This window comes from Homo sapiens, chromosome 18 (assembly GCF_000001405.40).
Source record: "Homo sapiens chromosome 18, GRCh38.p14 Primary Assembly".
NCBI classification, from domain to species: domain Eukaryota; kingdom Metazoa; phylum Chordata; class Mammalia; order Primates; family Hominidae; genus Homo; species Homo sapiens.
This window is the reverse complement of record NC_000018.10, coordinates 50,624,671-50,638,351: the sequence shown is the minus strand read 5'-3', so window position 1 is coordinate 50,638,351 and position 13,681 is coordinate 50,624,671. Positions and strand designations below refer to the sequence as shown.

The 13,681-nt window shown below is 47.4% G+C and overlaps 1 protein-coding gene across 6 annotated transcripts in view; it reads right to left on the bottom strand.

Moving 5' to 3' along the window:
• MAPK4 (mitogen-activated protein kinase 4) overlaps positions 1-13,681 on the bottom strand; it is a 172,215-nt gene that overhangs the window by 93,475 nt on the left and 65,059 nt on the right. The window contains exon 1 of one of the 6 annotated variants that reach the window (XM_047437625.1): positions 9,502-11,963. The exons of the other annotated variants lie outside the window; for them this stretch is intronic. The gene's annotated coding sequence lies outside the window, so the exon portion shown is untranslated. Of the gene's footprint in view, positions 1-9,501; positions 11,964-13,681 lie in introns of those variants that run through there. 6 annotated transcript variants of the gene reach the window in all.

Sequence of the window (13,681 nt, the reverse complement as noted above, 5' to 3'; positions counted from 1 at the left end):
CTTGGATAAAATATGTCATGCTTGTTTGAAGGATTGTGATTTATCATAATATTTTTCTAAGACTTCAAGGCCTCCAATGTTAAATCTAGGACTGTAAACCATGCCATAAGCAATCTAAAATGAGGCAGAGATTTTTTCCACTCTAGAAATAGCTGCCAAACAGACAGATTCCACCCAATGCTCACTCGCATGTTGCCAACCTAGCATCGCATCTCATCATTAGCCAGGAATAGAGCAATGGATATGAAGTTAGAACCAGTGGAGAGAGGGGAAGGACCCAGCATTAACCAAGTCAGGACCTTTACATGCATGATGCCCTTAAGGTGCACAAAACCCACTTGTTAGACTGACTTGTATCCTCCAAATTCATACGCTGAAGCCCTAACCCCTAGTAACTCAGAATGTGATTGTATTTGGAGACAGGGTCTTTAAAGAGGTTCTTAAGGTAAAATGAAGTCATCGGGGTAGGCCCCAATCTAATATGACAGACGTCCTTATAAGAAAGGAGGTTAGGACGTAGGCCACACACAGACTGAGGGGCAATCACGTGAGGACGCAGTGAGAAGGTGGCCACGTGCAAGCCAGGGAGAGAGACCTCCAGGGGAACCAACCCACCAACACTGTGATCTTGGACTTCAAGCCTCCAGAACTGTGAGAAAATACGTGTCTGTTGGTTAACTCACCCAGACTGTGGTATTCTGTCACAGCAACCCCAGCACACAAATACACCCCTGTGCAGGCATTATTCCTATTTTACGTATGGGGAAACAGGTGCATAGAAGTAGCCTGGCTGGGGCCACACTGCTGACAAGTGGCAGAGTCAGGCCTTAAACACCTGTCTGACTCCAAAGCCCATCCCCTGTCCTTTACTTTAGCTGGTTAAGAGTGAGGGGTTTTGAGTCAGGGTTCTTTGGTTCAAATTCTGGCTCTGCCATTTCCTGGCTCAGTGGCTTTGGGCAAGTTGCTGAACTTCACTATACCTGACCTTCAACATGTGTCAAATGGGGCCACAAAGATCTCTACTTTGTTTGCTTGTAGATGGAATTAAAGAATTAAAAAATGAACTAATACATGTAAAATACTTACTGCCTGACCCATGCTATGCGCTCAATAAAAGTTAGCTAATATTATTACTATTAATGCCATGATTATTATTATCACTGTTGTCACTGAGGGATCCTCAATAATCTGGTCCAAACTTCTCATTTTGCAAAGTCAGTGAAGTGAGACCCAGAGATGGGAGATGTCTTAGAAGGGCATGAAACCAGGTAACTGAGCTCCCGTCCAGTGTTCTCACCAGTGCTTTGGGAAGACTCAAAGAAACCGAGGTTTGGATGCAGGATTTTGTTTCTAAGTGGTTTTAAGATTAGGGAACAGAAGCAAGCAGGAGGCTGTGACAGGAGTTGGGAAATTGATTCTGGGCCTTATGTTCTCATCGTGAACAGAGATGATCTCACATACTCCACCCAGCCACCCCTGAGATTACCGTGAGACCACAAACACCAATACGCAAAAGCATCTGAGTGACGTAAGACACTATGATGCAGCGTCCAAAGTGAAAAAGAGTAACTCCTGAAGATCCTTGTGGGCCAGAAGGAATCAAGGATGTACACGAAGACCCTAAAAATTCAGCTTTAGGAAAGTTCAGGGGAGATTAGGAAACATTGAAAGGTTCCCATAGAAAAGCAAATGATGGATATGGATATTAATAGATCTTCAGGAGGTTGCTGAAAATAGGGCAAAGCAGACATGTCATGTGGAACATTTTATGTAATGGGGCTGTCAGGAGTCACCCCATGGGTCTCATGCAGGAGAGGCAGCCCCTGCCTAAGAGAAGAGGGGTCAGGAGGAGTCACCTGGTTACAGAGCAGCAAGACTAAAGAGGTTTGGAACTATTCTGCAAAACATGCAGGTATTTAGTCCACAGATACTTACCAAGCACTTCCTAGCTGCCCTGCCCTTTGCTCGGAACTGGGGATAAAATGAACAGTCAGACATAGCCCCTGCCCTCTTGGGGCTTCAGTCAGGTGGGACAGAGAGATATTGATCAAATAATCACAGAAATGGAAGTTGAGCTGCAGATGGAGGTAAGAACTTACAAGGAAGTGACCCTGACGTTGCGAGAGCACGTATTGAAGGGATTTGGGGCCAGGACCTGAGAAGGTGTCACTGAGTTAGGGGTCCTTAAGCTGAGAACTGAAGAATAAGCAGAAATTAACTAGGCAAGGAGGGAGAGGGAGAAAGTGCTCCAGATAGAAGGAAATGGGTGTGCAAAGGCCCCAAGCCTGAAGGCAGCATAGAATGCAAGGAAGTGTAAGTGCAAGAGAGGCTGGAGTGCAAAGAATAAGGCAGGGAGTGGAGTGAATTGAGTCTGAGAGAGTAGATTAGACCATGTGACCATGTGGACCAGGCCATCAAGGCCTAGTGGACCACACCATGGACTATAGTGGACCAGGCCATGGGCCTTTGGGGTCACATCCTGGGGCCTTTGTGAACCATGGAGGCTTGTGGACCGAACCATGGGGCCTAGAGGACCAAGCCATAGGGACCTTATGAACTAGACCATAAGCACCCGTGGACCAGACCATGGGGGCCTGTGGACCAGACTGCAGGGGCCTTGTTGAATAATCATGAGGGTCTTATGGACCAGGCATGGGGTCTTATGGACCAGGGCCTAGTGAACCAGACCACGGAGTCTTGCAGATCACATTAAGGAGTTTGGTCTCCTAACAACAGAAAGTCACTGAGATGTTTTAATCAGTAGATCACAAGATCATATTTGCATTTTTAGGGATGATTCTGACTACAGTGTGGAGAATGGATTGGTTGGACTACGCTACAGAGATAGCCCAGCTTGGGAGCTTTTAAGGTAGTTGAGGGGATTGATGATAGTATCTTGAATTTGGATACTTGGATAGTATTTGGGTGGTGCTGGTGGGTATAGAAATGAATGCATAGATATGAGAGAGATTCAGCATGTCAAATCATCAAGCACAGTAAAGGGCCCGAATGTTGGGGGTGATAGGGGGCATTGAAGTTGAATCCTAAATTTCTGGCTCATACTACTAGATATATGGGGATGCAAATGCTGAGAAGGAAAACTTGGAAGAGAGACGGGCTCTGGGTTTGGTTTCAGAATCCTGTTGGTTGAAGTCATTTGACATCCATGAGGAGATACTGACAGGAGGCACTGATGTTAACTGAAAACCCACTCTGTGCCAAGCACCATAGGAAGCCCTGGAGATATAATGATTAGTAAGACAGATACGCTGCCCTCAAATAGCTCATGCTTAGCCTTGGCTGCACTCTGGAATCACCTGAGGAGTTTGACAAATATGGATGCCAGGATCCTTCCCCTGGAGAGTCTCAGTTGATTGGTCTGGAGCGCCAACTGAGCATAGGGATGTCTAAGAACAACCCCGCTGATTCTAAGGTGCAGTCAGGATTGAGCACCACTGCTCTGGAGTGTGTAAGACCTGGTGTGGCTTGAGTCTCATTACACAGAAGGAGGAGATAGCAAAACGACCCATGATTGTAGGCCTTAAGAATTTAGAACAGAAACACTGAAGCACATTGGTATAATGGGAATAATATTATTTGGATATTAAACCAATATATTTTCATCCTTGGTAATTCCTGGTTCCTAGTTGTTCCCTGGCTCCCTAATTAAAAGCTGAGCCTGGCTGTTTCAGATCACAGAATTTCTTCCATGATCTACAAAAACACCTCTTATGCCTATGGGGAAATTTAAAAATGGATGACAGTTGATCCCCACTCTAAAAGAGGTAATGCTCTAATAACTGATGTAAGTCAAATATGACAGAAGGCAGGATGTGATCCACGCCAATGATCAAGGAACAAAATAAACGCCAAGGGATTTCAGAGAAGTAAGAGACTACTCGTGTTCGGCTACCGTTTCCCAGTCCTGACAATGGACCACTCAGATCTTTCACTCCTGGAACTGACCTCACCTTGTTCTTGAACCCAGTCTGAGAGCATGCGTTCCTCAATTTTTCAGAAAAGGAAAAAAAAAAAAGAAAAAAAAAACACCTGACAGCCATGCTGAAAAAAGTTGCACATGCCAGGCAAACAACACTTGAATTAATGCACACCAGGTGCTGACATCCTGCCCCTTTCAGGAGCAGAACCAAGAGTTGCTCAGAATACCCCCGCTCAGCTCTGCTCCAGTCCTGATAGGAAGGGAGGCACCGGTTTTCATTGAGCATATTTGGAAAAGAGAGAAATGGTGCACCTGAGAGTTATAAAAAGGTTTCTTTCTGGGAACCACAGGGAGCTGGAAAAAAACAAATTCTGAATTTCAACCTCTTACCAAACTACTGTTCTCCTACACCTCCTCCCCCTCCCCAAATCCAAATTTATGGCACAATGTTCCTGGAATTCTTACTAAGGCCCCCACCTAGTTACAAGCAAAAGCAACACACCACAGTGAAAGCAGATGATCCTTCCTACCTTAGATGCAGAATTGGCCAGCTGACAGAAAATCCTATAGTCTCGCAATTCTCCAGAAGTGACCACAGATAAAATCAAACCGACACACGGCAGCTCATCACCAACCCTATCAACCATCAGGAGGAGACTACAAAGGAGTATCAGATGGAGTCCCTGCCCTCCAGGACTTTATAGTAAGATTTCGGGAGTTTAGGTTTTATCCCTTAGGCAGTGCAAAGCCACTTAAGGCTTCTGAGCCTTAGATCAAAGTGTTTTGGGGAGATTAATCTGGCAGCAGCCAGCCCAAGTGGCTGCGGTGGGAAGCCACTGAGCAAAGAGAGGTCCCCTGAGAAGAATCAAGCCCTCAGAGCCCACAGTGTTGTCAAATATGCTAGGGATGCAGGCACTAGAACAGTCTCTGCGCCAGGACTTGTTATGATGTTTATACATCAACTGGGATGAATGCGCACTGCTACAGGATGTGGGACCTCTTCAAACCCTTCTGCCACAACAGGCCAGGGCCCAGGCACTCTTACTGGGTCCAGCGAGGGTGGGATGGGCACAGTGGCTCACTCCCAGGCAGACTTGTTTCCAGGCAACCATTCCAGACAGACACATGTCACTTTTGCCTAAAAATTTCCAGCAAAAGGGATTCCCCAGTGCCTTCGCAAAGTCTCTAGACTCCACGAGAAGACCTTGTGTCCTTTCCATCTCTCTTATGCCACAAACCAGCTGTTCCCCTCAGCAGAGGAGACAAGAGCTGTGCTGATTCTTCCCTGCCATACAGAGACATGGGAGCTGGAGTGTGACCTCGGCACACCCATTTCCTTATTGTCCAGGAATCCAGACTACAGCCTTAACCTTTGTTAAGGCTTTTAGTAAATTACTCCATCAGTCCAAGAGACAATTAAAACAAAAACAAAATAGCATTGTGTTTTTATAGCATTGTGTTTTTAGCACAGCGGTATATATAAAAAAAATCAGGCCAGGCGCAGTTGCTCACACCTGTAATCCCAGCACTTTGAGAGGCCAAGGCAGGTGGATCACCTGAGGTCAGGAGTTTGAGACCAGCCTGGCCAACATGGTAAAACCCTGTCTCTACTAAAAATATGAAAATTAGCTGGGTATGGTGGTACATGCCTATATTCTCAGCTACTCAGGAGCCTGAGGCAGGAGAATTGCTTGAACCTGGGAGGCTGAGGTTGCAATGAGCCGAGATTGCATCACTGCACTCCAGCCTGGATGTCAGAGTGAGACTCTGTCTCAAAAAAAAAAAAAAAAAAAAATTAAACCAGACTCAGTCTCTGTCCTTAAGGAATGATTAAAGTCCAGAGGTGTATAATATAACTCACAAAATTCCATAACGAGACACAGAACATGACAGAACATGAAAGAATGCAAGAGACAAGGTTGAGGGAAATACTACAGGCAGAGGGGATGCTGGATGACTCATTTGGAAGGGAAAGATCAGGAGCAGCGTCTTGACATTTGAGACGGGCACTGGAATGACAGATTCTGACATAACACAAAAGAACTTTGCAAATCTAATTATTTGGAAATCAAACAGCAACAAAAAGAAAATTGGCCTCCCCTCACTGAAGAGAAGAAACACAGAGTCTGCAATCCACAGAATGCCCACGGTAACTCCCAGCCACGTGAAATTTGGAGAGAAATACGTGGCTTTTGCCAGCAAAGAGGAGGCCGCCGCCCCAGGGGACCTAACCCAAGGCCACCTGAAATGCCACCTTTTCCCCTCAACGGCATGAAATACTTGGTAGGTTTGACACTCTGGGGCCCCATTTGGAAGCCTCTAACCACAGTAGGGCCCATACCTAGGAGATCAAGCCAGCAGCTCCCCCACTGTGCCTTTCTCACGGCCACCCACACGTGCCAACAGCAACAGACACCTAACACTTACATGGCACTTTCCAAGTTCACTTTGTGCTTTTACAAACATCTCTGATTCTCACAACCACCCTGAGGCAGGAGGCACTCTGAAGTGTTCCTTGCTGATAAAGATTGTATTTATCTTGCTGATAAAGTTGTATTATTTCCTACTGTGTTTAGTATCTGTCTGAAAACACATTCTAATCAGACAACTTTTCCACGTTTGGCTTCAGCACATCTCTCCAGGAAGGACACTGTGAGGCCAGTAGGTTTTTGCCCTAAGAGGACTGACCATCATCTGGGGGCCACACATGGAGAGTTAAAATAACAATTCAAGGGGCATCAGAAGTCAGAGTCTGAGTACTAAATACAATGGGAAGATGCTGGTACAAAATGAGTTTGCAGGACAGAGCAAGCACACGGTCCTGGACTGAGCAGAAAGCCACAAAGTTCAGGAAGGGTTTGAATGATGCCTCACACTTAGGAGACGCTAAGTTGACCCTCTTTATTCATGGTAGTTACATTCTAATATGGTCATGTTCCTGCCAGCCTCTGATGGCAACAATGGAGTGGTCTCATGGACATTGTTAGTGAATTTCCTCTTCCTTTTTCTGGATGTACCAGAATATTGTTGATTCGTTAACATTGAACTCACAGCCAACCGTATGTCTGATCAAAGCTTATCTAACACACACATCTTCTCTGTGAGGCACATCACAGCCTCCCTGGGCTTAGGAACACTAGATAGCACCTCAGCGCTATGCTTAAGGAGCCATTTCAGAACTGCAATATCACCATCAACAAAAAAGCACAAAAATGCAAAACAAAAAAAAGTGGCACTAAATAGACTGCGAAGACACTTGTTTGCAGTATGAGAGCTGAAACCAGAAGGCAGCGTGTCACCCTGTCTGACCTCGGCCGGGAATGTGCATGTCAGGCGAGTCAAATTTTTCACCACTCTGTGCACATCAGCGAATCACTGTGAAAGGACTGTGAGTGCTGGTTTGGGGATACAAATAAATTTTAGGGAGTAGTAAAATTGGCAAATACAGAATCCATGGGTAATGAAGATCTACTGTACCTTGGTCGGAGAAAGGCTGTAAACAGAGGCATTTGGTACCTGTCTGTGGAACTGAACCAAAGTTGCAAAGACAGGTGAGGCTCCCAGCTGGGAAAAACAAATGTGGAGGCTGATTCAGGGAGAGAGGCTGGTTCTGTGTACTGGAGGGATGGCAGCGGCACAGCCAAAAGGCAGACGTGGTCAGACTGCGGAGGGCTGTGAATATTAGGATGAGGAGCTAATCCTAATATTTGTTTACCCAGCAGACCACTAAGCACCTGCCAGGTGCAGGATCAGAGGAGTGCAGAGGAGTGCAGAATTTTAGTTAGGACCTTGAAGGATGTGTCCGAAGAGGATGACATTGTGGACAGAGGAGCTGGGTCAGGTCAGCACCTATATCCTGGGTACTCCTGGATGCCCAGAATGGCTACGGAAGGTTGGTCTAGAGAGAAAGAGAGGAGGAAACAGGCCAGATGCAGTGGCTAACACCTGTAATCCCAGCACTTTGGGAGGCAAAGGTGGGTGGATCACTTGAGGTTAGGAGTTTGAGACCACCCTGGCCAATATGGTGAAACCCTGTCTCTGTTAAAAATACAAAAATTTGCTGGGCGTGGTGGTGCACGCCTGTAATCCCAGCTACTCAGGAAGCTGAGGCATGAGAATCGCTTGAACCTAGGAGGCGGAGGTTGCAGTGAGCAGAGATCGTGCCACTGCACTCCAGCCTGGGTGACACAGACAGGCTCTGTCTAAAAAACAAAAAAGACAGGAGGAAACAGCTTTGGGGCATAAATCCCTCAAGTCTCAGTATCTATCCAAAGGGAACTCGGCCAGCATCCTACCAGACCGAATGCCACTATGGGTTAGGCGTTCCCCTCCCCCATCTCCCAACACAGGAGGTTCCTTCAGGTTCCCCATCACACATTCACCTGCTGTTTACGTGTCTGTCTAAAGCTAATGTTCATTAAAGCCCTTAACATGCCCAGACACATGCACATGTTTAATAACGTGCCTGGTCCTACAACAGTGATGGGCATCATTATTACGAAGCCCAGGTACAGACAAGACCCTCAGTTTTACCTACTCACAGCAGCCCTTGCTTGCTCACTGCCGAATCCCTAATGGCTTGGAACAGAGCCTGGGCCTCCAGGTGATTTCTTAAATGTTAACTGATTTCCATCGCTGATCTTCCAGCTGAGTGGCATTTGGTTAACACAGAACCTCTGAGCCCCAGGCTCAACCCCCAACCCCCTGCCTTCTCCAGTGGTTTCCAACATGGTCCAGCCTCAAAGACGGATGGCCCATGGGGTCACAGTGCCCCACGAAGCTCAAAAGGACCATGCATTTAGCTGATGCTCTGCTGTCGCTGTCTTGAATTTCTTCATCATTTGTGAACAAGGAGCATGAATTTTCATCTTGCACTTGTGCCCTGCAAATTATGTTCCTGGACCTGCCTCCAACTCTCTGACTTCCTCTCCCACAGAGTGCTCCACTGTTGGCCAAACTTGAGGACCAGAGACAAGTCTGTGCAAGTAGCAAGTGCTTTGCTGAAAACTTTCCATCCTAAATTAAAACATACATTTCTATTCTGGTTATGGAGCCAACTAATGCGTGTAACTTAATCACACTGTTGTTTGCTCAGTCTGGCTATAAACCATGTAAACGCCAGCCTCCTGGGAGCTTTCTGCTACCGCTTGGGGAATTAACAACACACGTCAAGCTTGTTACATGATTCTCTCAGGGTTCTGCTCTGGTTTCTGCTCTCAGAATTTCTAAGCCTGAATACACTGCATTTCAGCCCTGAGCAATGCCCTCCCTCATCTTAGCGAATGTGAGCACTTACTCTTGAGAAAGCCCCCACAAAGCAGAAAGAACGAAGTCAAGCAATGAAACTCTAATCACATATTGCTTCTACCCTTCCGCATTAGGTATACCACAAGGCTTCAGCCCTGAAATCTCTTTCTATAATGTGTTTCCAGAAGGACAAAGAAAAGAAATACTTTTCTCCCCAGTCTAATCTGGATATAAAATAAAATGAAAAATCGACAAATCACTAAATGTGCCTGGGTCTTATTTTATTAATCAAACAAATGGGTTGAACAACTTACCTAAATGTAATAAACCATGGCCAGAGAGAACAGTAGTTGGCTGTTAGCTGAGACAATTGTGATAGACAAATGCCTGGCACCATTGAGTGATGCAGCAGAGCCCACAGGAGGAATGTGGGTGGGAGAGGAGAGGTCGGAGGGGCTATCAGAAGATCCTGGCTCTAGCCCTAGTTCTGCTCCTGATGGGCTCTTAAAATTGAGTTGACACCACTTCACTCTCTGGGCCTTGCTTCCCTCCTCTGAAAAACACTGACATAAAAATATTTGGTGATAGTGAGAGATTAAATAAGAACATGGATCCAAAAAACACTTTGCGAAATCTTAACAGCATTATTCTAAAATATTACATGCTACTTGGATAAGGCGTTGCGTGTGCTTAACGGGCCCCCAAAAGGCCAACATTTGATTCTAGCAAGTCCCATGGAAACTTCCAGGACCCTGCAAGGATTTCAAGGGAACCCAGGCCCCAGGGAGGCGAGATCAGACGGCAATGGAAAGAATTTCTACTCCCTGTGGCCTGCCAGCCCTTGGCCTCCTAAAGCGATCAGATGTTGGATTTGGAAACAGCGAACCCGATAGAATTCTTCACACTTCTAATTACTTCATGATTTGTACACATTTTGGCGGTTGCTTCAAGGCTGTTTTATTAATTCGCAGATTTTCACTATTTTTGCTTCTCCTTTTCTTGCCAATTAGCTGAACTAGCTGCAACTCAGCATCTGGGGAGGGCTACAATGGGAAGCAGGCCTTCCCCCTCCCCAGCCCCTACTGCCCGGGAACCCTACCTCGGAGCCAGTGTCAGGAGTCACCACGCAGACCAATGGGTGTGGTGGCCTGGTGGGAGCTTATTCCCTGATGACAAAATCTGTTTCCTCTGCTTTGAAAGAACACCTTGAGTCACCTCTCCCAGTCTGTCTAATGCTTGCCTGAGCCCTGTGGACTCACATGAGAATCTAAGACATCAGGGAGAATGCTGCTGTCGCCAGACTTGCCTCACAAATCCCATGAGGAAATTTGGAGAGGCTCCTATGCAGCCAGGTCTCGGATGTGGCCTAATCAACACCATCCAAACTCACAGGCATGGGAGACCCTGCATTCTGTGTCATCTCCTGGGCAGGCAGTACCAGCCAAGGGATCTGTCTCAAGTCCTGGGCCTCACCTCTGCTCTCTCAAATGGGATCGTAACATAGGCTCTGCCCTCCTTGCCAGGTTACTGTGAGGAAGTTTGTTCAATGCTGTAAGAGCTAAATGCAGGCAAGGGGTCCTTATAAGCAACAACTTTGGTTTGAAGACAACACAGTGGCAGGGTGTTCAGCTCTGCTTTCAAGTCAGAAGGATCTCAAGGCTCGGTTTGGCCTGGAGTGGGAAACAGCTGCAGCCTCTCCTTCCTCCAGAGCTCGGGCCACCCCTGAAGCTGGTGGTTGGGATGTGGAAGGAAAGTTCCAGATGGGAGTGTCTGTGGCCTCAAGGAACTATTGCTATCCATTGTAACCTCTTCAGATAATTGCTGTCAGCTTCTTGCTTTCAGAACCTTCCCCCTGAGGGGAATCCTTCCTTCGGAATCCTTCCCACCTCCAATGAGGCCATGGGACAGACTCCCTAGTCCACCATGAGGCTCGATGTGCAAGGACAGCAGATGCCATGACACCCAAGCCATTCCCCAAGGCTGGTCCAAGTCCGCCTCTCCCAGGAAGCCTCCTCTGACCATGTGGTCCACAGGAAGTCTGGGCAGGAGCCAGCTGAGGAAACAAAGCAGGAGCGGAAATGGAGGCCATGTGGCCAAGATGAGTGGGCGGGGGGCGGGGTGGTAGGGGGGACAAAAATGCCAAGCTGGAATGGTGATACTCTCCCTTCCCTTCACAGTGACAAGGCCTAATGACAACACCCATTTGTCTTGCAGATTAACAAGGGACAGGAGATAGCCAGGAGGCTGGTTTCCCTGTGCTGTGAGCAGAGGGGCTCCCTTGACAAAGTACACCTGCATAATAAATGACACCACGTGCAAGCGCAAAGAGTCACTAGGGCACAGGGTTGGGGAACACACTACAGAGCCCCCTGAACATCTTGAGGATTTGGGTGTGGGACAAGCTGTGTTCATGCTGAGGATTTGGATGAAGCACATCTGCTGGAGACACCTTGTGACTTCCTGGGAGCCTGAAGGGCCTGGTCTCGTTCCAGGTTTAACCTGAGGGAGGAGACGGGAAGAAAGGGTGATGAGGAATGGGAGGGGAGAGGGGACGAGAAAAAGGAAAAACAGGTTCCCAGAGAGGGACAGTGTCGGAGCAAGTGGGCCACATGTGACACCTTGATGAACCCTTGGGCCAAAGGTTACCAACCCCTTCGGCCATCCCAGAATCCTTCCCGCCTCCAACAAGGCTATGGGACAGACTCCCCGTCCACGCTGAGGCTCAGTGTGCAAGGACCGCAGACGCCATGATGCCCAAGCCATCCCCAAGGTTGGTTCAAGTCCACCTCTCCCAGGGAGCCTGCTCTGACCATCTGGTCCACAGCATTTCCTCCCTCCACAGACCTCACGTTCAGAGATGGATTTGCCAGGTGTGAAGGTTAATTTTATGTCAACTTGGTTGACCACGGTGCCCAGATATTTGGTCAAACATTATTCTGGATGTTTCTGTAAGGATGTTTTTGGATGAGATTTGCATTTAAATTAGTGGACTCTGAGTAAAGCAGATGACCCTTCATAATGTGGGTGGTCTTCTTCCAGTCAGTAGAAGGCCTTAATAGAACAAATGAAGGACTTCCCCTGAGTGAGAAGGAATTCTGCCAGTGGATGGCCTTCAGGCTTCAATGCAACCTCAGCTTATCCTGGGTTTCCAGCCTGCCAGACCACCCTGCTGATTTTGGACTTGTCAGTCTCCATAATCACTTGAGCTGAGTCCTTAAAATAAATGTCATTATATATGTGTGTGTGTGTGTGTGTGTGTGTGTGTGTGTGTGTGTGTGTGTGCATACACACACCCTATTGGTTTTTCTCTGGAGAACCCTAATACACCAAGAAACTAACAACACTTAAGCCAAGAACTCCTCACTAGCAAGAGCCCCTTCCAGAGACCTGGGAGGGGCTCTAGCTATTTTCTATCTCTTCTTTCTATGAGGATCTCCCAATGCTGTATAAACTTCAGACCTCACCAATCCTGGGTCCAGCCTGGCTTTGGTATGGGCATGTGCTACCCCGAGTCTACAATGGTATTCAGACCTTATACTTTGTTTTGCCCACTGAGCATGTCTTCCCTCTCTAACTGAACTGGAAGCTCCATGAAGGAAGGGGCTGTCTTCTACTCCTTGGCCTCCTCTGCCATCTGTGTCACAGCCCTTGCATGTGCTAAGAGCCCAATACACATTTGCTCACGGAATGGGGGTTTGTGACTCCTGCGGTCTTTGGAGGGAGGAAGCTAGAAAAAGGCTCTCAAAGAATGATGCTGAGGACCCAGCAAAGGAGAAAAATAAAGTGCAAGGATAAAGTGAGGAAGGAAAAAAATCTTGCCATAATTCATGCCCAGCGCTTTTGCCATCTCTTAGCATCCCAAGATTCTGGTCACCAAGGCTCGGTCTCCTGGGGTGATGGAGGCCATCCATCCCTGATGCAGACCCTGCATTTTCCAGGACCAGCTTTGGTTCCTCCTTGACTTGTTCTCTCTCCCATGCCTCCCCCTGTGCCCTGAGAAAGCTCGGGAAAGCACAAAGCTGGCTGAGTTTTCAGGTCCTGGGCCTCAGCTTCTCCCCACCAGTGTCCTGGAGCAAGTGCCAGTCATCAAGGATGTCTTTCATTTCCAGATAGTCCTCATCTTCCAGGTACCCCAGAGAGTGAATTAGAGTGGAATTCAGTGCCACAGGCTGAGGGACAAGATAGGCTCTCTTGGTTGGGTCCTGTGTTTTGACAAAGCTTAGAGCTGACCCAACACTCTTTAAGCTTGCTGCTGGGTGCTCTCAGGTGTCACTTTCTGAACACAGCAAGTTCTCTAGATCCCAGGCAGCCAAAGCTTCCCAGGCAGCTGTACCAGGCAGGCATACCAGGCAGGGCCCACCAAGAAGAGCAGCTGTGTACCTTAGAAGAGATCTGTCTTAAAACAGTATGTTCACCAATGACACCATCACCATCACAAAAGGATTCACCAATGGTATTATTAAAAAACAAACTTATACTTTGAAAAAATTGTAA